This window comes from Homo sapiens, chromosome 3, assembly GCF_000001405.40.
Source record: "Homo sapiens chromosome 3, GRCh38.p14 Primary Assembly".
In the NCBI taxonomy this organism is placed as follows: Eukaryota; Metazoa; Chordata; class Mammalia; order Primates; family Hominidae; genus Homo; species Homo sapiens.
In genome coordinates this window covers 134,353,598-134,376,252 of record NC_000003.12, presented here as the reverse complement: position 1 = coordinate 134,376,252, position 22,655 = coordinate 134,353,598, and the positions used below count along the sequence as shown (strand labels likewise).

Sequence of the window (22,655 nt, the reverse complement as noted above, 5' to 3'; positions counted from 1 at the left end):
CTGTACCATGTGGTCTTTCCCCTGGTTTTACAACCCGAGTGCACATGTCCACAACCACTCCCCTGCCTCCACCAATTATGCTGTCCATAAGGTAAGGCCACTCAGAGACCTCTTTCCTTTCACTTCTAAAATTCCTACCTACAGTGGTATACTGATCACAGCTTCTCTTCGTAAGGGGATCCTTGGAAAGACAAATATCCCGTAGCTTGGCACAAATGATCCATTTGCTCAATCATCTCAGATCCAATCACTGTTTGAAACACAGTATTTGACTTCCAAGTAAAACACACACGTGCGCACACACACACACACTTTTTGTGAGTTTTATTAAAAATTAACAATGTCCCTGGCAATTAAGCTTGCAGAATTTCCTTGTCCTTGTTTCCCTCCAGTGAATTTGGGACTTGCAAACTCCATGCTGATGGGAGGACCCAGCCAGGGGTAGAAATCAGCCCTGACTCTCTGGGTGGACAGGGGCCTGACTGCCCCCACCTCACCCCAACTGACTTGTAGAGAGGGCTTGTGTGATGGGGAACGGGGACAGCATGTGTCAGAGCGAGCTTTCTGAAGAAGGGGTTTCCATCTAGCAGTGGAAGTGTCCTGGGGGCAGAGGAGAGGATTCCATGCAGGAGCCACAGAAGTGGGTACAGGGGAAAGCCCCTGGCTGGCAGGGGTGTAGGGGGAGGTAAAGAAGAGACTAAAGCAAGGACAGGGTAAGTGGAGAGAGGAGGGCTCCCAGTGTCTGCCCTGTCCATCTAGGGAGCCTGGATTCTGATAGCCAGGGAGGGGTTTTGAGAATGAGAAACCAAGCAGCCCAGTGGTTGATTACCTGGTTCTCACTGTGTGTGACTCTGGGCACGCTGCTTAAGCTCTCTGAGCCCTGGTGTCCTCATTTACAACACAGGGATGATAACAGAACTCCGTTGGAGGGTGCTTGGCAGGGCTGAATCGGATGACTGGGCGAAAAGCCAGCGGTGGCACACCTTGCACTCTGCGTAAAGGGGCGCCTATTATCACCTTGGGGAAGAACTGGACAGAGCGCCTGGCGGCGGGTGATTCAGTTGGGTAGGTGGGTCAAATTGACCGGATTTTCCAACCCAGATTCACACTTCCTGTCGAGACGGTCGTAAAATAGCTGGCGAAGGTGTTTGTAAACAAAAGTGCATTCAAAGGTTGCCGCTGGGGGTGAAAACAGCGGGGGTTAGGGGAAAGAGGCTCTGTGGCTGGAAGCATTCACTTAGCCCGGGGCACTGTCCCAGCCCAGAGGATATGGATGTCTTTGCAGTCCCTCCTCCCTTTCCCACCTCCCCCGGTACACACACACGCACACACACACACACACACACACACAGCCGGAGTCCCCTCCCGCAGCAACCCCAGGACACGCGTGGTACAGCCCTTGCTGTCGTCCCGTCGATGGGTTTAGGGATGAAGGGTGAGAGCGGGTCGGCGACTGGGAGTGGAGGCGATAATGGGCAGAGTTGGATTAAATTGTCTCCAGCAGCTCCGAAGGCAAAGCATGGGGCAGGGGCGGACACACCGCGGCCTGGAGGGCGCTGGGCGCGGAGGAACGGAGCTCGGGGGCCGGGCCGGCGCTCGGCCAGCAGCGCCGCCTCCCCGGAGGAAGGCGGGGGCCGGGAGGAGGGAGCGGGAGAAGGCGGAGGGCGGAGGAGGGCGGTGCGCTGAGAGGTTATTTGTGGTTCGCTTTGATCCCGAGGGGGAACCTGAAACTCTCACATTCCTGGCATAGCAGCCGCCTCCGGCGCGGGCCGACCCTGGGGCTGCGCGCTGGGGCGCGAACAGCCAGAGCGTCGGCGCCACGGCCGAGAACACATCTTCGCCGCCGAGCTGAGCTGGGCCGAGCCGGAGGTTGTGGTGTCTGACTGCGCTGGGCACCCTCGGGCCGCAGCGGTAAGGAAGGCCGCTCGGCGCTCGGGAGAGCGCGCGAGGCCACAGAAACGTGCCCCAGCCAAAGCTGGAGTCTCGGCGCAACCCGGCCTTTTCCGGGAGTCGGAGCCTCGAGGATCGAGCGTCCTCGGGGCGCAGTGCGCCCTTTCGAGGCAGCCGCAGTGCCTGGCAAGGGCCGCTCTGCCCAGGGAGCGCAGCGCGCTGGGCTTTGCGGGGCTCTAGAAACGCGCGGGTCTCTTGGGGCTGGGGGAGAGGGGAGAGGGCCGACTCCGGAGACAACAGCCACAGTGTTTCGGGTTGCAGGTCGGCGGGGGTGGGGGTGGCGGGGGACAGGGATGGAGGCGCCGCTTGGAGCTCAAGTTGCAGGGTCCTGCGGGCTGATTTGGTTAGGTGGGGGTTACAGGTGCCTTTGCCCCCAACTAGTCCAAGAATTCCTCTTTGTCTTCCTTGGAAAATCCTCTCTGGAGCCACGAATTGGCCCTCACTTAGAAAGAATGCAGCCTGCTGTCCAGCCCGGTGACGTCAGCGTTAGAGTATTTGGAAAACAAAGAGGGCTCGAGAGGGAGGGAGGCGGACCCGCGATGCTTAAAGACCTCTCCGGGCCTCGGGCTACCCTCACCGGCTCGCCCCAGGCGTACCAGCGGCCACCGGTGCTCCAGGTCCGCCCGGGCTCGTGGTGGGGCGGGAGCCCTGGCTGGGGTGCCAGAACCTCCTAGCTTGGAGACTGTCTTTGGTTCCTTAGGCGAGCAGGAGCCCAGGCCAAGGCTGGAGACGCGCGCTGGCTTAGAAAGGCGGCCTTCAGAGAGCGCAGCGGGCGAGTGCAGCAGAGGTTCGCGGCCGGGGGCGCGGAAGCAGGTTTTTGTAAAGGCCCAGGCGTTTGATGTCTGAAAGGACGTGAATCTGAGGGGCTTGGCCGGGACAAATTCGCGATGAGAGGCCTTGGAGATGTTCCTTGCTCCCAGTCCGGGCACACTATGGAGCGCCTGGAATCTGTCAGGAAGGCTCCGCATTCCTTCCTGCCGCTCCCCTGCCTTCTCTGTGGGAGTCGGCCCAGAGAGTGATTATCATAGGAAATGCCCGCAGATAAAACTCCAGGGCGAACTGAATCCCATACGAATTGAATCCCATTTGCTTGCTTTGCCTCGGGTAGCTCTGGAGTCTTGCACATCTACCCCTCGTTGTGTGTGGGGGGCGCATGACTGGGTGCCAGGAAGGATGGGTACAGAGGTGCCCTCCAGACTCATCCCCCACTCCCCAGCTCTGGGCAGCTGGAGTACTGGGGTGGGGAGAGGGAAAAGATCGGGAATGGCTGCTCTGCCAACATGCCATAGCCCAAACTGAAGCAGGACACTAGGGCTAGTTTAGTGGCAGAGGAGGGGCCACATTCCTCCCACCCACCCCCCCAACCCCTGCCCATACACACAGGACCTGTGGCAGTGTGGATTCTGTTTAGTTTTCCCTGGATCCCAGTTTGGAGATTTGTGTTGGAAGAGGCTGTGGAAAGGAAGCTGGGTGAGAGAGGCAGGCAGATTTCCAGTCCATGAACCACTGGGAGCCCAGGCTTAGAAGGGAACTCCTTTCTCCGATATAATCTCCCAGCACTTTAGGCTCACAGTCCCCTCTCCCCTGCCCCAGGTCTCTCAACCAACAGCCTCCCCTTACTTCTCCAGTTGGCCCAAGTCAAGATGGGCTTCCTTGACACTGATGTCAAGAAAGATGCTGAGTGCCCATCCCTTATGTGCCTAGAGGACCAGTGGGGGCTTTTCCAAGTAGCGTGTGTGTGTGTTTGTGTGTGTGTGTGTGTGTGTGTGTGTTGGGGAGGATAATCATAAAATCAAAGACATCATGCCATCCTTCCTTTTTCCTGGAGCTCTCTTGCAGTTACTGTCAGCACAAAAGACTGACCCACTAACCTTAATGGGTGGCACCTTTTTGCCTCATCTTACAAAACCATTGTCCTCTTGAAGCATTTTTATTCATCCTTTATTCACCAATTCAGGTGCAATTACTCCTTCTTCCTGTTCACCTTGCAGAATGACTGCCAAGGTCATCCCATGACAGGGAGCCCCAGATTCATTCTGTCAGCAGCGCTTGATGAAGCAGAGCCCAAGCCCATCCTCCAGGAGTTCTCTGGTTCAGGGAGAGTGGGAAAAGTGGCCAGGGGTTCAGCGGGCTAGAGGGTGGTAGGTTGACTGTGCCAAGGCTCTGGGATGCCTCAGTCTAGAGGGTGGTAGGTTGACTGTACCAAGGCTGGACTCTGGCATGCCTCAGTCTAGAGGGTCCTAGAGGCCTTTCGCCTAGGGCTTCTACTGGACTGCATGCATTCTTTATCACCTGCCAATAAATTGGGGCCCCATCCACCCCTAGACTGAATAGCTAAGTGGTTAGATCTGAACTAGGCCTGCCTTAGAATTGCCCATCAGGCTGTTTGATGTGTAGCTGGCTGTACGGGTGGTGGTTCCTGGTGGGTTATCTTCTGGTTTCCTGTTGTCTCTCTCCAGGAATAGTAAGTCTCCATGAATGTTATCATTAGTAATCGTTTACCAGGATTTTCACTGTGCCAGGAGCTCGCAGGCCACTGCCTCTTTTTTTTTCCTCATCTCCATGAGTCAAGCAGAATTCTTTGCATTTTTCTGGTGGAGAAACTGAGGCTCAGAGATTAGGTAACTTGTCTTAATCAGTAGATGGCAGCACTGGTACTTGAACCCAGGCTTGTGTGAACCGCCCCACCCCTGCTCTTCACTTTTATGCTTTCCACCAGAGTAATAATGGAAATCCTGGAAAGCCTTCTCCTTTCCCATGGGTTCCCACTGATTGCTTTTCTCTCTCTCTCTCCCCACCCCACTCCAGGTGCTCTGGGGCCAGGTGCCACCGGCCATTGTCCAGGCAGCTGTGTGCAAGCCAAAGAAGCATGAGGACACTGGAAGACTCCTCGGGGACAGTCCTGCACCGCCTCATCCAGGAGCAGCTGCGCTACGGCAACCTGACTGAGACGCGCACGCTGCTAGCCATCCAGCAGCAGGCCCTGAGGGGTGGGGCTGGAACTGGGGGTACAGGGAGCCCCCAGGCCTCCCTGGAGATCCTGGCCCCAGAGGACAGTCAGGTGCTGCAGCAGGCCACCAGGCAGGAGCCCCAGGGCCAGGAGCACCAGGGCGGTGAGAACCACCTGGCAGAGAACACCCTCTACCGGCTATGCCCACAGCCCAGCAAGGGAGAGGAGCTGCCCACCTATGAGGAGGCCAAAGCCCACTCGCAGTACTATGCGGCCCAGCAGGCAGGGACCCGGCCACATGCGGGGGACCGAGATCCCCGTGGGGCCCCGGGAGGCAGTCGGAGGCAGGACGAGGCCCTGCGGGAGCTGAGGCATGGGCACGTGCGCTCGTTGAGTGAACGGCTCCTTCAGTTGTCCCTGGAGAGGAACGGCGCCCGGGCCCCCAGCCACATGAGCTCCTCCCACAGCTTCCCACAGCTGGCCCGCAACCAGCAGGGCCCCCCACTGAGGGGCCCCCCTGCTGAGGGCCCAGAGTCCCGAGGACCCCCACCTCAGTACCCTCATGTTGTACTAGCTCATGAGACCACCACTGCTGTCACTGACCCACGGTACCGTGCCCGCGGCAGCCCGCACTTCCAGCATGCTGAAGTCAGGTAACTCTCCCCACCTTGGGCTTTCCAACTCCTGGCTTTCTTCCAGCACAGGTCTCTCAGGGAGGAGAGCCTCAAGATCACAGCTTGTGTCAGAGCTAGCAAGATCCACCCCACCTCCAACCTGAGAAGGGAGAGCTAATGCCTGGCAGAGAAGAGGGACTTAGCTGAGGTCCCCTAAGAAGTTAGTGGTGTCCCTTGCCTTAATTCAGAGATAGGCACCATTGTCTGCTTAGCTGTAGCATTCAAGTAACTAGAGTCCCCAGAGTACACAAATTGCAGCAGGGGGTTAAAGGTTAGATTTCAGAAAGAACTTCCTAAAGGCAAGGTTGGGAATGATTGCCAAACTGTTTCCAAGTTAAGCAGGAAGAAGGTGGGACTTCCTTCTCTGGAGATTTTTTAAGAAAATATGAGCAGCTTGCTTTCTGTGATTATTGGGAGGCATTCCTAACTAGAGGCTGGAAAGGCCCAGTGGTCTGATTAGAGACCTCTCAGCATCTTACACCAGGGCAGGAGCTTACTTGTCTCTCCTCTTCATTTCCTGCCATATGCTCCCTGCGTCTGCAGCCTGCAGTGGGAAAGGATTCTGGGTCCAAGTGGGCCCTTTTCTGGTGAGGCTCAGGAGAGGCTGCTGGGCCATGGTAGGGACTTAGAGTTTGATTCTGAGTGTGCTGGGAGGCCCTCAGGGGATGTGATTTGGTTTACCTTTTCTAAATGCTCTCTCTGGCTACATGCAGAGCATGGTTTGTAAGGGGCCAGAATGGAAGCAGGAAGACCCGGGGAGGCAAGAAGTCTAGAGAGTTTGGAGAAATAAGTGTTCCTAGAAACAAGGCCCTGCCTCACGCTTCTCATCTTGCCCAGCATCTTTTCCAGAGAAGCAGACACAGCCATCACTGCTGCATCTCCCCCTATGGGAGTCCAAGAAACCCCACCAAGGGACCCCAAGGATTTCAGACTCTTCCTCTGGTGGCCCAAGGTCAAAGTCTGGTTCTCTTCATGCCTGCTGTGTTCCTTTAGTAAACACCCACTTTCCCACCGTCCGGCTTTCCTTGCTCTCGAGAAATGAGTGACATGATGGGGTTGGTATGGCGGAACCAGAGGTTGGAGCCTCATAGTTTTTCTCCAGCCTCCACCCCTCCAGACTCGCACTTTATCGCCCCTCTCAGGGCTCGGTCAGGAAGAGTTTCGGAAGCTGAGTGGTGGTTTCTTCTTTTGGACCAGCCTTATTGAACCCTGTCAGGAAAAGATAGTAATCACGGCAAGGAAGTAGACTGTTTGCAGGAGAACAAAAAGCAGGGGAGGGAGAGGACGAGGAGAAAGGAAAGCAAGTGTGAAGGGAAAGGAGTTGCTATTCTTTCTCAGAGCTAAGTCATCCCCAAAGAATGCCAGTTGTGTCTGCCTGGCCCAGTGCAGGGGGGAGCAAGTTCTTGAAGCAACCTTGAGAATGGCCATTTTAGCAGTGGAATGGAGAGTTTGAGCACTCCAGTGGGGACCCTCTTCCCAGCTCTTACTGGAAGCCCCACCTTAGGTAGTAGGAGAAATACATCTGCCCAATATCTCCTTTCAGATGATCCAGTGAAGATTATTTGTTAGGAAACGGGCTAGACTCCTAGCCTAGGGTCCTGAGAAGAGCAGGGGGGCCATAGGCTGCATGGCAGCAAGAGTCAGGGGCAGGCTGGGTGTGCATTAGTGCTGAGATGATGCACCCAGAAGGGGAATTCGGTTTTTGCGGGGCTTCTGGGACTTGGAAGATTCTTTGTGAAACTGAGGCAGTTGTGACACTGGGAATCACAAGGTCCCAGGAAGGCCCTTGGACTCCCCGTGCCTCTTGCCCTTTGCTCCTTCCCTCAACATGGAGCCCTGGGGGTGATGTTACACCAGTGCCAGAGGCCAATAGAATATTGTCCCCTGAACTCAGTGACCACAGTAGTCCAGAGGCAGCCCTTACTCCCAAGGAAACCAAGAGTTTGGGCCACATTTGTTCTCTAAACTGAGGGTAAACTGAGGCTCCTACTAGAAGAGATGGAGGATGGGCCACCATTATAGGAGCACCTGCCACCCGCCCAGCACTGGCCCAGCACTCTGCCAGGCCTTACATAGCGTCATCCTCAACAAATCCCAGCGAGGCTGGAGACCCTCATGATGCAACAGAGCAATGCCCAGTCTGTGGGGCTGAGGCACTCGCCCAAGGTTAAACAGCTGGAGCAGGGATTTGAACCCCTATTTGTCAGACTCTAGAGCTCAGACTCTTACCCTGACATTTGTCTCATTGCTCTAACCTTAACTGGAGTCTTCTAAAAATGACTCTGGGTGAGTGGGGGGTGGGGGGTGGCAGGACTTGAAATAGGAAGGAGAAAATGAGTGCTGCTTTGGCAGTCTTGAAACTGGCGACTCGTGTAATAGACACAAGGTTGCTGCTGGGGCCCAGCCACCAAAGTTGTCCTGGGGCCTGGAAGGTTATATGCTCAGTCATGATTGACATGGCCTCCAGCCCCAAAAATAACCTTCCATTGATTAGAAGTGTCAGGGTGCATTTTTTAAGATGATGTATTTAAGCATTAGTTGCTTAGGAGGCCCAGGATTGCTCAGGCTGATCCCCAAGGCCCCAGCCACTGTGAGGCGGGTATGAAACAAGCATCCTGACATTAATCCCCTCTAGCCCTGCTGTCTGACTCTTGAGAGCCTCAGGCAGAAACATTTGGAAAAGGCCTTCCCTACTGGTCCCTGCCTAACACTAGAGGGTTGAATAATTATCTGCAGTAATTTTAATAATATATTAATTATTGATAATAATTAACCATCTTCCCAGTATGCCTAGGAGTGGGGTGACCCCGGGCTGCTCTGGTGGGAGCCATGAGGGTCTGTGCTGTCTCTGAGCACCGTCTCTTCTGTTCCCCAGGATCCTGCAGGCCCAGGTGCCTCCTGTGTTCCTCCAACAGCAGCAGCAGTACCAGTACCTGCAGCAATCTCAGGAGCACCCCCCTCCCCCACATCCAGCTGCTCTCGGCCATGGCCCCCTGAGCTCCCTCAGTCCACCTGCTGTGGAGGGGCCAGTGAGTGCCCAGGCCTCCTCAGCCACCTCGGGCAGTGCCCACCTGGCCCAGATGGAGGCCGTGCTGAGGGAGAATGCCAGGCTGCAGAGAGACAATGAGCGGCTGCAGAGGGAGCTGGAGAGCTCTGCGGAGAAGGCTGGCCGCATTGAGAAGGTAGGCCCTGCTGGGGCTTCAGAAGGGCAGACCAGAAAGAGACCCCGAGGGGCTACCTGGGGAGTGGGTAGTCCAAGGAGAGGCAGAGGAGCCTGAAAACTGTTTGGCTGGATTTCTCCCTATCCCTCTGTCTTCCACCTCCCTCACTCCTCATGCACCCTCCTGAGCTGACTCCAGACAGCTGGGGAACAGCCGAGAGGCCGGCAGAGCAGGCCTGGAGCATGAACAGTTGCTGGCCAGTGGTGATTAGAAAGAGCCCATTCACCAGCTCCTTGCACACTCGCACCCTTGCCCTGCACACACCCCCTCCCATGGACACCTCCCACAGAGAGCCCTTTGTGTCCCCCACACAACAGCAAGTCTGTTCCAGGCCAGCCCTGGCCAAAAAGAAAACTTCTCCTCTTGGAAAAAAAATGGGCGACTTGTTGGAATCACAGGCCAGCTAAGAGCACGTGCGGAACCTGCCAGCAGCCAAGTGGGAGGAGCAGCCGGGGCCCAGCTGGCCCTCTGGGTGGATGGTGATGCCTGGGACACCAGGCAGAGGCAGCTCTGCCTGGTGCCCGCTTCTTTAGTGAAGGGTTACCAGTTTTCCGCTGAGGCTCAGTTTTAGCAGATGGCCTCAGGCCTCCCTTGACTGTCCTGTGGTGTCCAAGTTAGGTCAAACCACCCCATCATGGCTGGAGTCTTTCGGTGCCCACTTCTGGCCAACTGTACTCAGTTTCTTGGTGGAAGCCAGCCAAGAGTAGAATGTTTCCTTCTGGACACTGGGCACAGGGAAGCTGTGTTTAGTCACCCCGCAGGCAGCTACTTCCAAAGTACCTGGCCCTGGGTTCACTCAGCATCTGGTCCTTGGGGCAGCCGATGGGACCGTTGCTTGCTGGTCCCAGCAGTCTATTCTACTTCCGGAGGCTACAAGCTTCTGACCATCCCACCATAGTCACCTGGAGGTTTTGCTCCTGTTTGGTGGCCTCTCATCTGTCACCTTTTCTGATGGAGAGTAGTGGGTCAGCCTCGAATCACTCCCTGGGAGCTCTCGCCTTCATTCAGCTCTGCTGTCTGACTCTTGCAGCTGGAAAGCGAAATCCAGCGGCTCTCTGAGGCCCATGAGAGCCTGACCAGAGCCTCCTCCAAGCGTGAGGCCCTGGAGAAGACCATGCGGAACAAGATGGACAGTGAAATGAGGAGGCTGCAAGACTTCAACCGGGATCTTAGAGGTGAGAGCCAGTCACACAGGTGGAGGTTGGAGAACCTCTGCAGAGGACTTACTTCTTTTGTTCTAGAGAAAAATTGGGAATCTCTATTCTCTGTCAAAAGTGCAGATGAACTCAGAGAGCCAGGCTGAGACCCCTTTGGAGCTGCCCTGATAGAGAGATGCTTGTCTCTATGTACTGGGCCTAGGATCCCCTCAGGGATGATGGCTCTTGACAGAGGAGGCTCCCACCCATGGGGCCCTGAGCTGAGCTGGGGTTTCCTTATGAACCCATCCCCAATATGGAGGATACAGCCCCATCCTGATAGGACGTCAGGAAAAATCCCAAGCTGGCAGCTTCACCTGACACTAAAACATCTTTCCTTCCCTTGAAACAGAGAGATTGGAATCTGCAAATCGCCGCCTGGCAAGCAAGACACAGGAGGCCCAGGCCGGCAGTCAGGACATGGTGGCCAAGCTGCTTGCTCAGAGTGAGTAGGGGCCCCACTAAGAAGCCTGGCCTGTGTGCAGGCAATGGGACTGCTGCACACCCTCTGGACTAGGAAGATTGGCCTTCCCCCTTGCAAAGTAGTACTTTGGGAGCAGGTTTACTGCCCACTGTATGCCCAACACTAGACTGGATCTGGGGATAGTGGGGATAAGTGGCTTCCAAAGAAGAATAGGATCTAGTTCTGTATCTTTTAAGAAGATCAGCTGACACAAGAGGGAAAGCCAGGGAGCAGTGATTTGCTGAGCTTCGGTGCTGACCACCAGTGCAGTGCATTGGGCAGTGCGGGAGGCAAGGTAGCCCTGAAGACAGATGAGGTGAAGGAGAAGGACAGGTCTGAGAGCTTCCCAGGGAGTTCCTGGCAACAGAAAGGTCGGGAGTGTGCAATGGGAATGTGAGAGGTAGGGGGGCATGGTGGAGCTGAGCCATAGCAAGCCAAGTGGAGGCATCTGAGGCAGCCAAAAATGGGATCCTAGACCTTAACCAACAGATGCATTCTAAACGGGGCGGTCTAAGCATCCTTGAAGAATGGGCAAGTTCATTGACTAGTCCATTTATTCATTCATTAGCAGATGTGTTTTAAGCAACTGGCAGATGTTCAAGAGAGAATGGGAGCAGGCCCAGGAAGGTACCATGGCAGGGAGGTCAGGAAGGAAGTGGTGAGCTTAAGAAAGGAGCAGGTTCCCACAGATGCAAAAGAACAACGGGGGTGGCCCTAGAAACCGGTGATTAGGAGCCCCGGTGGCCTGAGAGAGGGGCTCTGTGGGGATGGCAGGGGTGGAGAGCCAGCCAGAGGTGAAGGAGCTATTGGGCAGTTCAAGAGGTACATGGGGTGGGTGGCAAAGGGAGCCCTGAGCTCAGCAGCAGGAGGCTCTAGCAATCAGAAGAGACTAAGAACAGTTATTTATTGAGCTCCTACTAGGAGCTTTAGTGCTGTTCAAGGTGTTTGCAGAGAAGTGGAATGGGAGTGGTTGGTAGCTGGGTAAACATGGCTTTGAGTCTTCACAGGAACCCTACTGTGAATGGCACAAAGGGTAGTGTGGGGTGCAGAAATGGAGGAGCAGCTTGAGGACTTAGCTCTGGCTGGCAGCACCCCTATCTTCCTTCAAAGAGGGTTCAAAGACTAGGGCAGGGAATGGGGGAACACAGCACTGAAGGAATTGACAGGGTGGGGCAGGAGGTAGGCTGGTCTCTTCTGGCTGGGTGGGGTGAGATGGCAGCGGCTTAAGGTCTCTGGGAAGGAGTCAAAGGGAAGGAGGGAGAAAGGGGAGGGGGCAGCCCTGGGGTTTCCCTGAGGAGTCTGGGGAGGAGAAGCTGCAAGGGCACGGCAGATTAGGGTGCCTGTGGAGGAAGGCGGACTTCTGGAGCCTGACTCTGCCAAAGAAAGGAAGCCATGGGGCGGGTTTCTGGGAGCTTGCTAGTGGGTGAGAAGAGGGGGGCCGGCCGGGAGGCGTTTCCGCTCCCCGGGGAGCGAGTGAGCGCCGAGCTGTTCTTGGCTCCTCGCTGGAGCCATTAATCTTGCAGCCGCGGGTGACCTGGATGCCTGGCATTCCAGAGCCGCGAGCTGTTCCGCTCCCGGCCCGCCCCCCGCCGCTCCCTCCCGTGCGCGCTGCCTGGCGCCCTTCGCCCGGCTTTGGGAGGAGGGAGGGTGAGCACAAAGGGAGCCTGGAACGTGGAGGTGGGGGCTCGCTCGCTGCCCAAGGCGCATCCCGGGTCCCGTCGGCGCCTCGCCTGCCTTCCTGCCCTCCTCCGCTGGCCTTCGGGCGTCCTCTTCCCACCCGCACCCAGACCACTTATTTCTTACTAAGGAGCTCTCCTTCCCGAGATCCCGCAGGCCCAAGGTTTTATCAGGGTCCTGTTGGTAGGGGATGGCCAGAGCTCAAAGCCTCCCAGCCCCCACCAGGGCCTTAGAGGTTGGACAAGGCTGCAGGAAGCTTCTGGAAGCAGAGGGCTGGGTCCTCCGGCCCCTTCCTCCCCCAGGGCTGAGGAAACCCAAGCAGCTCTTCCTTGCTCCCTAGTAGCTATTGCAAAGGGAGGTGTCTGATTGACCTCCCTTTTATCTGGGGTCAGTCAACACTAGGAAAGTGTGGCCATTATCACCAATGCCATCTGCTTTTCCTCCTAGGCAAGCCACGCAGCCCCCCAGCACTGCCCTTCTGGCCCTTCTAGGCCAGCAGTGCCCCCTGGGGATCTGGCCTTGAGGCCTGAGGCTGGCCTGTTAGCTCCACCCCCTTGGGAATATTTCTTCTCTCCCTGCGCCCCAGATTCTCCAGCTATAAGATGAGACAGAGTCCTTCCCCACAGAGTCATGCTAAGGCTGAAATGAGATGCAGGCCCTGGGCAAACTGAACGCACAGGTGGACTAGGGGAGGGTCCTCCCTGCCTGAGTCCCAACCTGGCTGCCCCTCCTCAATGGATGTTAACACCCCACTCAATGGATGTTAAGCCAGCGAAGTATGAACACATCCGTTTCAATATTATTGGACTTCCTCGTATTTTCCTCCATGCCACAGAATGATACCATCCTGGGCTCAGCCTTCAAACATCCAAAATGAATCAAGAGCTAACCTGAGTTGCCTCTGTGTCCTCCCTGCCCTGCCCCAGGGACCTGAGTAAATGAATCCTCCCTTCCACATGCCAAGGTCTCAAGCCTTCACCCTTCTGTTCCAGAACTTGCACTGTCCTATATGATAGGTACTTAGCTGCATGTGGCCCAAAGATTGAAATTAATGAAAATAAATTAAATTTAAAATTCAGTTCTCCCATCTTACTAGCCACATTTCCAGTCCTCAGTGGCACGTGTGTCTAGTAGCCACTGCATTGGAGGGTGCCGTATAGAACAATTCCACTCTGGCAGAAAATTCCACTGAATCAGAATGCTGTTCTAGAGACAGTGCCTTTAGGTTCATTAGCGGGAGCCCATAGCCCTGCCCCCCACCTGCTCTCCAGCAAGGTAGGCAGCTGACCTGCTCCTCAGGGGGCAGCCTGGGACTCTCAAGGGGCAGGTGCCTGGGAGGTGGATTTAAGGCTAGAACATCAGATGGAGGGCTCTGTGGTCTGGCTTGGGCTTCTCCTGGCCCTATGGAGAGGGCCTCTGAGCAGTTTCTTTGGGCAATTAACAAAATGATTTAAAAGTCAGGATAGCTTGACCCTTACACACTAATCTTTGGGCCATAGTCATTTTCACTGTACTGCAGACTTTGCATTTCCTTCTGAGCCTGGTTGCTTACATCTCAGTGTTCTTTTCAGACCATGGAAGGAAATGTAGCCCTCAACGGACCTCTCGGCCTGGGTCTGCAGAAGGAGCCCCAGAGCTCTGGGTGGCCTATAAGTACAAACGCCTCACCATGTAGCCAGAGGCAGCCTGGGCCTTTGTAGTGTGGCCAACTGGGGTTTCCATTTGGCAGCACCATTCACCTCCTATGTTTCTCCCCTATAAGTTGGGGATCCCAAATCCTCCCTGGAGGGGCTGGAGGATTCGTGGAATAAGATGTGTAAGGGCCTGGTGTGCCGACAGCCGATGGTGGTTCTGTTCCCCCTTCTTTCATTCTCCCACTGGAAGGAGGACCATGTCACAGCCTACCTGAGTCTCTATTTTCTCATCTGTACATGGGCATCACAGTTCCTACCTCAACAGTCTCGAGCCGTCACAAGGTTCAAGGGATATTGTGGATGTGTTTTAGACATGGTGCCCCTGGCACAAGTGGATGGTGTTTGGGGCTGTCCCATGGCAGTATGTCCCAGTAGAAAGGCAGGGTAGCCCAGTTGTTACTGCAAGGGTCCTGGAATTGGGCTCTGTCATTTACTCCTGACTTAACATGAGCCTTGGTTTCTTCTTCCATGAAACAGGGTTAATAGTGGTACCTTATTCCTGTTATTTTTGAGAGAATGAGAAGCAACTGTGCTCATCCAGTGGTCAGCACTGAGCCCAGGAGGCAATGGGGCCAGCCAACGTGGTCACTGTCACTGATCAAGCCTCTTTCTCCCTACAGGCTACGAACAGCAGCAGGAGCAAGAGAAGCTGGAGCGAGAGATGGCACTGCTGCGCGGCGCCATCGAGGACCAGCGGCGGCGTGCCGAGCTGCTGGAGCAGGCTCTGGGCAATGCGCAGGGCCGGGCAGCTCGAGCCGAAGAGGAGCTGCGCAAGAAGCAGGCCTATGTGGAGAAAGTGGAGCGGCTGCAGCAGGCGCTCGGGCAGCTGCAGGCAGCCTGTGAGAAGCGGGAGCAGCTGGAGCTGCGTCTGCGGACTCGCCTGGAGCAGGAACTCAAGGCCCTGCGTGCACAGCAGGTGAGCTGAGAAAGTCTCCAGGCTAGGGCAGCATCTGAGGATGTTGGCTTCCCTTCCTCCTCGGGGACTGTAGGTTTGGAGGCCAGGGCTGAGGCCCCGGGAGCCCCTGCTTAGATCTAGGCTGCAGGCCCGTTGGAAGGCGGCGAGGATGATTGCTCTCTGCTCCACCTTTGCTGCGTGCTCCCTTCCACTCGTTGTCTTAGTAGAGGCCCTGCCACCTGGCCCATGTCCAGCCTCGGGGGACTCCTGTCCTCGGCAGCAGCAGGGCTAGTTGTCCTTGACCTCTAGAGAAAGTAAGTCAGGAACCTGGATATAGAAGGCCTGCGAGCTTTTTTTTTTTTGAGATGGAATCTCATTCTGTCGCCCAGGCTGGAGTGCAGTGGCGCGAACGCTCACTGCAACTTCCACCTCCCAGGTTCAAGCCATTCTCTTGCCTCAGCCTCCCGAGTAGCTGAGACTACAGGCGTGCGCCACCACGCCCAGCTAATTTTTGTATTTTTAGTAGAGATGAGGTTTCACCATATTGGCCAGGCTGGTCTTGAACCCCTGACCTCACGTGGTCCGCCGACCTTGGCCTCCCAAAGTGCTGGGATTACAGGCATGAGCCACTGCGTCTGGCCACCAGCCAGCTTTTATATGCCTCCCCAAGATTGGGAGGAAAGATGGTTGTCCAGATCCACTGTGCTTAGCCTCACTTCGGACTTCTGTGTAAACAACTCTTGGTGTTTACAAACCAAATAGAGTTATTTCTCCACTCCCAAACCTACCCTTGCCACAGAGGTAGTGTGACTGAACCCCCTGGTTTGCCCAGTTCTGTTCTAATGTACACCAGTTTTCCCAGTATAATTATTGATAGCACCCCCTTTGCCAGTTTGGAGGATTATCTGTCTGGTCTCTATGCCCTTGCCCTAGGATTCAGGGCAGGGGTATGGGGACCTGTGCTGTATCCCCATTTCGGTAGAGGAAGGATGGGGAAATGTATGCTGTGTATGGCTGAACACGTACATGTACAAGTGACAGTCGTGTGGAGGCGAAGACCAGTGGCTGCCACACCCCAACCTGCACCCTTGACCACGGTCTCTACTCCTTGCTCTGCAGAGACAGGCAGGTGCCCCAGGTGGTAGCAGTGGCAGTGGTGGGTCTCCAGAGCTCAGCGCCCTGCGACTGTCAGAACAACTGCGAGAGAAGGAGGAGCAGATCCTGGCGCTGGAGGCCGACATGACCAAGTGGGAGCAGAAGTATTTGGAGGAACGTGCCATGAGGCAGTTTGCCATGGATGCGGCTGCCACGGCTGCTGCTCAGCGTGACACCACTCTCATCCGACATTCCCCCCAGCCCTCACCCAGCAGCAGCTTCAATGAGGGTCTGCTCACTGGTGGCCACAGGCATCAGGAGATGGAAAGCAGGTTCGGCATTGCAGGCCAGGCACCTGAGGTTGGGGGGGTGGGTGGCAATGTCCAGTCACTGCCCTGCCCTTGATCCCTGATAAACAGGCCCCTTTCCCCATAGAGCTCAGCAGTCCCTCCTGCTTCTGAGCTGAACCTGCATGATTGGCACACCAGGCACTGTAAACATGCATTTGCCCAGAAATACCGAGTCCTTGGTCTGCCCAGGAGACTCTTACTGTGGAGGTGTTGGGTGCCATCCAGTGCTTGGGCCCTGCCTCCCCTCTCCGGAGTGCCGCCCTCCAGGATGAGGGCTGTGCCGCCACTATCATCTGATGAATCTGGAACCCATCCTTAATGGCCTGCCTTTGCTGGTGTGAGAAGGGCCCAGGGCCTTATGCACTGGTGGTTTTCAGAGCCTGGGCTCTAAGAGCATCAAATTCCAGAGCTGTGGTGCCATTTCTAAGCCCTCTCTGGGTCCCTGCTACAAGCACAGAAGGATCCAGCCTGGCAGGGTTGGGGGAGTTGGGGGGGGCTTTTCCTCTAACTCCTATGAGGCAGGAAGGGTGGAGGCTGTTGGATCTGTGGGTCTGACAATGTGGGCATGGCCTCTCACCCCTCAGGTTAAAGGTGCTCCATGCCCAGATCCTGGAGAAGGATGCAGTGATCAAGGTCCTTCAGCAGCGCTCCAGGAGAGACCCTGGCAAGGCCATCCAGGGCTCCCTGCGGCCTGCCAAGTCGGTGCCATCTGTTTTCGCGGCTGCGGCAGCAGGAACCCAGGGCTGGCAAGGGCTCTCTTCTAGTGAGCGACAAACAGCAGACGCCCCTGCTCGGCTGACTACAGGTAAGAGGAGGCTACTGCTGGGATAGATTGAGAGGTAATTTCTCCTGGGCCTGAACACAGATTGCCAGACCTTTCCTCCCAGAACTGAGGCTATAGGAGCCAGGGCTTCCTGACCCTCTTCCAGGGGAGCTGGCTTATTCTCTGCCTCTAGTGACTCTACAGCGCAAGGCTCTCCTGCCAGTGTGAAGAGGGGTACTTAGTCCCCATCACCATAAATTCTATCATGCTTCAGCCCCAGCCACTGAACTAAGAAAAATAGAGCTTCCTGTGCAGATACACCTTGTATGCAAGCTCCCTCCACTCTTCCTTCTAAGCAGATGCCACAGAAACTCTAGAAGATTTAATCTATAAGGAAGGGTCCCACCACCCAAAACATTTGGAAGCCAATCCAATCTGGTAGTTATTCCCATTTGAAAATAGGAGCATTTTTAGTCTTAAAGTTCTTGCAAATCAAGAGCAGCCCACTCCACCTTGAATCCCCAGCAGGGACAGTTAACTTAGAGTGTCCTTCACCAGGGCCACATCTTACAGGCATGGCAATAACCATCCACCTACCTTTCCAGCAGACAGAGCACCCACAGAGGAGCCAGTGGTCACAGCTCCCCCTGCTGCCCATGCCAAACACGGGAGCAGAGATGGGAGCACCCAGACTGAGGGCCCCCCAGACAGCACCTCCACCTGCCTGCCACCGGAGCCTGACAGCCTTCTGGGGTGCAGCAGTAGCCAGAGAGCAGCCTCTCTGGGTAAGTCCTCCTGACCCCACTTCTGTGCTAGGTAGGGCCGAGGGGGCACTGGGGTGTGAACTGGAACACAAGGCCTTTTCTTCCCAGACCCCCTCCGGGTCATTGCCCGCACTCCATGGGGAGCCGTGCATAGCCAGAGGTGAGCAGGGTGCCTGGCCCACCTCAATGTGAACATGAGGGATGGCTGGTTGCATGAATAGGGAAATTGGAAACCCTGATTAGAGGCAGATCCAGAATTCAGAAAGAAAGCAACCAGATGGGAGGCACTTTAGCTCCTCTTTCATGGTCTTCCCTACATAGTTAATTTCCAATTTGATTATCCAAGAGAATGGAGCTCGCAAGTCATGCCGATGGCACTCTGGAAGCCTGTTTAAAGAGTCCGGGAAGGAGAAATCTGAGAAGATGCCATTTCTTTTTCCACTCCCCTTTCACATTGGCCTTTGCATATTTGCCTGTGCCTCATGATCTCAGAAAACCACAGGCATGAAAAGAATGCTGCAGCCTGCCTCCCTCAGGGCTCTCCATTGCTCTCTCTAAGCCCTCCAACCAGTTCAAAGTTAGAAACAAATGCATCCTACACATCGGAGGTTGGTGGGCTGGGCTGAGCACTGAAAGGGGGCAGAGCATTGTGCTTGGTTGGCCGAGTTCTGGGAACCTGGGCAGCAGAGGTGGGAAAAGTTGGTGAAGAACGATCTTTGTCTTTCAAATGTGCCAGGATTTTAAAAGCAATCTAGTAACACTCATTGGCATGTGCCTGTGTTCTTGTCTGTCTCCAGACTCTGTAGCTACATCCAGAGTCCAGGACTTGTCAGACATGGTGGAGATACTGATCTGAAGGAGGTGGTGCTTCAGGACTCTGAGCCATTCTCTCCCCTCCTCTGCCCTGTGCCACTCTCAGCCATTTCAGCAGCCCCGTCAACCGCTGCTCCGTCCCTTTCCCCAGCCAGACACTCATTCCCATTGACCATCTGGTCCCAGGAGCTCAGGAGGAGGACCCCAGGGGAGAGGAGAGCTGTGAGAGCACCGGCACCCCCAGAAGACTCTGCTTCTTAGCCCACATTCCTCCGGGCCTTATGGAGAATGAGGATTCAGCCTTGACTTCTTGCCCAAGGCCTGCTACTGGGGTAGCAACTGACAGCTCAGAAAGGAGCTGAGCTCCCTCTGCCCTGCCAGTTGTCAGTCAGGCAGGGAGGGAGTGGCTGTGTTGGTTTGGGGAACTAATTTCCACGGACGGCTGCCCGTGGACACCAGGTGGACTGGTTCACTAATCAAGTCAGCCATATTGTTCTCTGGCTAAGTTTGGTTCCAGCCAACGTCATCTGCTCTTCAGTTCCTCACTGCCTTCTTGGGATACTAAGACTTGAATTTTTTGGGGACTATTAAGGGTGTTAGTCTTGGAGAAGACACAGCCTCACCTTCTCACTTGCTGTGGGTGAGGGGCCATTTAAGTGGACTGGGAGACAGTGCGCAGTTTGTATATAATTCCCTTTCTTGTGGAACAGAAGACTGAGGCCTGCAGGTTCCGATGTGTCTCCATGGGCTGTGCTCCCCTCTTCCTACTGTCAGTTTCTGAAACTTCTGACTGGCCTCCCAGTTATGCCTCCTCCTCAAGTTCCTGGCCCGTGGATGTTAAAGCTGCTCGATTCCCAGGATCTCGGCTGCCTTTTCCTCTATCTTGAGCCCTATAAATGCCCACGGGACCCCCACCACCAGCCTCTTGAAGTGGCTCCACAGCTCCTGTCCCTGGAACATCCTGTCAGTTTGGTCATAAACCCTGAGCCAGATGAAATGAGCCACCGTGAACAGACATCTGCCATGCCCCCAGGTGGGCTTCGGTGGCCCTACCCGGTACCAGTTCTTTCTGAGAAACTGGAGATGTCTTGTTAGCATAAGTGTCTTCATTCCCACCTGGAGGGTTTGGGAGAGGAGCAAAGCAGTTGAAAACTAGTTAATGAGCTACAAGAGTCAAATAGTCCTCTGAATGGAGCCCCCATCACAAAACAGTGCCCAGGAGGCTGGCTCCTCAAGCTACCCATGCCCAGCGCCCTAAAGCAGCACCAGATGCTTTGGAATTGGGGTGAAACACCCACATGGCAGCCTGCTAGCAGCAGTGACTTTGACTTCTGGTCTTAAAGAGTCCCTCACTTCAGCCCCAGGAGCTATTGGTGGGTTTTAGCAGTTTTGTCTTTACCGTTTTTAGTTCTCCTTGATTCTTTGTTTTCTTCCTTTATCGTTTTTAGGTTTGGTATGTGTTGTTTTATTTCCATGGTTCCTCAAGTTTCCTTTTTAAACATTTGCATTTGCTGGACAATTGCAATTTTTTTTAAAAAATTCCCCTACCCCTGTTTAAAGCTGAAAAATACATTTGGTTCATGTGCATTGTTTACAAAGCAAAAAGAAAAAAGAGGAAAAAAAGGCAAAAAATATTGTGAAAGAAAAAAAACAACTTAATATATTTTGGATTAATATTTGGTATTTCTTTTAAAGTATTTTTTGTGCTGTGAACATTTTCTGCCAAAGACCATGATGTGTGTCTGTATGTTTAAGTTATCGTAAATATTTAAAATGTAAACATGGCTGTTTTGTTATGCCACCCTGTACCAGGATTGCTGCCGCATTCCACTGGGTATAACAGTATTTTAATTAAAAAAAAATAATTAAAAGTGATGTCTTTGCACAGGTGAGACTTTGCACTGAGGGAAGGGAAAGGGTGAGGATTTTGGGGGGCCACCCAAGTCATAGTCCAATCTCTTCAAGGACCCAAGATAGAATTTAGGAATTTTGTGAAGCTGCATTAAGGATAGAGTTGGAATGAGGATGTGGCTGGCATTTTTCCCCTTTCATAGATAACATTTCTTGAAGGCTGGGAGGGGAAGGAGGGCCTGGCAGATGGCAGCCTCCCGAGGTAGGGCTGTGTTCTAATCAGCTTTGTTCGGCCACACGCTGTGGTTATCCACAGTGGGAGTGGGTGTCCAAAGATGGCTTTATCCTTCCCCCACTCCTTTTCCCACTCCCACCTAGCACATAAAGTTTTGTCCGAAACCATCCAGAAGGCCAGGCACCATGCAGAGGACATTCAAGAATGTGCATGTTCTTAGCCACCGCCTCCCTCCTTTGCTGTGACATCACCACTCTTTCCTGATGCTCAGGAAAGCATATTGCTCCAATTCAAAATTAAAGAAAGCCATTCTCAGTCTTGCTTGTTCTTGTATCAGAAACAAAATACCTGTCTTGTGCTTCTATAAGTGTGTTAGGACCCTGAGGTTCCCAGTCAGCATGTGGCCAGCAGTTAGCTGGCCATGAGGCAGCAGCAGGCTACCAGACAGCCTACGTGACATGTGACAGGAACAGTTTCCCACCATGGCCGTGAGTGAAGTGTCTTCGGGGCCAATGTGGGAACTCGGGAGCCATGTTGATGAGTAACTAAGTTGAGATCCTAGAGAAGGTGTCTTCCCGAGCTGGCCTACCAGCCCACAAGTATGAAGACAAGCAGGTGGAAGAATTGGAAACATCCAGAAACTTTTCTAGCAACTTTGCAGATGGTGATGGGTCCCACTGGATGAGGAGCTCTCCATGCAGAGGCATCAAACCCACCCCATGGCCACACCTCCACCCAACCCTCCAGCCTGCCTCCTGCCACTGGGGCACTATCTATGCCAGCCTTTCTCCCATTGAGCCCTGAACTAGAGTCAGCTTCACAAATAGGTTACTCACCTGACATGCAGGCCTAGTGCATGGAGGCGGCCTGAACAATAGGGCTCCTTCTCACCCTCCCACAGCTGCTCCTCCCTGGGCCACAGCAGCCCATGGCTACATTTGCTGACTTGCTGTCCAAAACAAAATGTCGGTGCCTGTGGCAGGGAGTTCCAAAGGACAGCTTGGCAACTCAGACCTGTGAACAATAAGCCCTGACAACAGTGCCATCTCACCCCAGTACCTTTGGCCAGGGGCTTCCAAAGCATCTGCACCTTCTGTGAGATCCAGTCTGTGGAAAGTCACTTTAATGTTTCCTTGGCACAGACCAGGAGGAATAAGAAATCGGTCCCAGTGTACCCAGCACATGTACGTGCATGTGCATTTGTGTGCACATGTGTACATGCGTGCCTGACCATGTGTCCCAGAGAAAGGTGTGAGGGGCACCAATATCTTCTGGCTAGTGTCCCTGCAGGGCATGGGTGCTCTCCTGCCACATGGTGACCAGTGCATCTGAGTGACATTTCCTCTCGGGAAAGGGGATGAGTGAGCTGCTCGGTGCCCTGTGAAATGCAGTCTAATGAAGTTTCAGAACTAGTGGAGCTGCAGGCTGTGGCAGGGATGGTGAGGCCTTGTGGAGGGAGGTGTTTGCCTTCTGTGTCTAACACCTGTGAAGGGGTGGAGCCTGGGCCAGAGCCCAGGTGGCTCAGCGGGGCCCTTTGGAGGCCAAGTTCCTCTTTGAGGGGGCAGCCCTAACCTGCCTGCCCTGCCTCCACCCAGTGTCCCCACCAACAGGGCTGGGGATGTGGCTCAGGGGGCAGCCCATGGCTGCAAGGGCTGGAGGGCAGCTTATGAGTGGCTGCCCCAGCCTCTCTCCCTCCTCTCACCTCCTGGTTAATTGTTAACTCTTCCCCTGGCATAAGTATGCACCAGGCTCAGCAAGCTTGGTGAAAATATGCCAAGACAAGGGCAGCAAATTGGGGCCCAGTCACCCAGAGATAGCCAAAGCCGCTTTACTGCACCCGAAGAACTCCAGCTAGACAGGAAAGTTGTTTGCAGTACCACTCTGCCATCAACTAGCACAAGTAAGGGGCTGGCCAGGATGAAGCTGTCCCTGATCAGGCCTTGCTGGGAGCGACCGACCCCTCTGGAGGTGGTTCAGAAACCCCCGCAACCAGCAGTGCATTCCTGGACGTGCCATGCCTGGATCTAACACATGGGTGAAGTGCCACAGCAATTGAACCCTAAG

At 54.7% G+C, this 22,655-nt stretch overlaps 1 protein-coding gene and 1 non-coding gene across 5 annotated transcripts, besides 5 other annotated features; both read left to right on the top strand.

Moving 5' to 3' along the window:
- Positions 149 to 946: an enhancer, noted in NCBI's record as "NANOG-H3K27ac hESC enhancer chr3:134094149-134094946 (GRCh37/hg19 assembly coordinates)". NCBI's record gives its function as "activates a minimal SCP1, AML or CMV promoter by ChIP-STARR-seq in primed H9 embryonic stem cells {active_cell/tissue: H9 hESC(primed)}" and the evidence as "EXISTENCE:reporter gene assay evidence [ECO:0000049][PMID:30033119]".
- On the top strand, positions 836 to 20,908 carry AMOTL2 (angiomotin like 2). Of its 4 annotated transcripts, none has more exons than NM_001278683.1 (10): positions 836 to 1,065; positions 4,759 to 5,553; positions 8,450 to 8,756; positions 9,826 to 9,970; positions 10,344 to 10,436; positions 14,446 to 14,741; positions 15,840 to 16,147; positions 16,750 to 16,970; positions 17,537 to 17,713; positions 18,490 to 20,908. In NM_001278683.1, exons 1-10 carry the CDS (start codon positions 953 to 955, stop codon positions 18,546 to 18,548), a joined length of 2,514 nt encoding a protein of 837 aa, NP_001265612.1. In that variant the 5' UTR covers positions 836 to 952; the 3' UTR covers positions 18,549 to 20,908. The 4 variants fall into 4 exon arrangements, with proteins under 4 accessions (NP_001265612.1, NP_001350872.1, NP_001265614.1 ...); NM_001363943.2 differs by lacking the exon at positions 836 to 1,065 and adding an exon at positions 1,343 to 1,435 and having other exon boundaries at positions 18,490 to 20,906; NM_001278685.2 differs by lacking the exon at positions 836 to 1,065 and adding an exon at positions 1,806 to 1,911 and having other exon boundaries at positions 15,846 to 16,147; positions 18,490 to 20,906.
- Positions 947 to 1,746: an enhancer, noted in NCBI's record as "NANOG-H3K27ac-H3K4me1 hESC enhancer chr3:134093349-134094148 (GRCh37/hg19 assembly coordinates)". NCBI's record gives its function as "activates a minimal SCP1, AML or CMV promoter by ChIP-STARR-seq in naive H9 embryonic stem cells {active_cell/tissue: H9 hESC(naive)}" and the evidence as "EXISTENCE:reporter gene assay evidence [ECO:0000049][PMID:30033119]".
- Positions 1,747 to 2,546: an enhancer, noted in NCBI's record as "NANOG-H3K27ac-H3K4me1 hESC enhancer chr3:134092549-134093348 (GRCh37/hg19 assembly coordinates)". NCBI's record gives its function as "activates a minimal SCP1, AML or CMV promoter by ChIP-STARR-seq in naive and primed H9 embryonic stem cells {active_cell/tissue: H9 hESC(naive and primed)}" and the evidence as "EXISTENCE:reporter gene assay evidence [ECO:0000049][PMID:30033119]".
- Positions 8,391 to 8,449, top strand: MIR6827 (microRNA 6827). Its single transcript, NR_106885.1, has one exon. It is a non-coding gene; the product is annotated as a microRNA 6827 (primary transcript).
- Positions 14,612 to 14,906: a silencer, noted in NCBI's record as "tiled region #9661; HepG2 Repressive non-DNase unmatched - State 15:Elon, and K562 Repressive non-DNase unmatched - State 22:ReprW". NCBI's record gives its function as "represses a minimal TATA promoter and a strong SV40 promoter by Sharpr-MPRA in HepG2 and K562 cells {active_cell/tissue: HepG2 | K562}" and the evidence as "EXISTENCE:reporter gene assay evidence [ECO:0000049][PMID:27701403]".
- Positions 16,203 to 16,763: an enhancer, noted in NCBI's record as "H3K4me1 hESC enhancer chr3:134078332-134078892 (GRCh37/hg19 assembly coordinates)". NCBI's record gives its function as "activates a minimal SCP1, AML or CMV promoter by ChIP-STARR-seq in naive H9 embryonic stem cells {active_cell/tissue: H9 hESC(naive)}" and the evidence as "EXISTENCE:reporter gene assay evidence [ECO:0000049][PMID:30033119]".
- Positions 20,909 to 22,655: the final 1,747 nt, after the last annotated feature.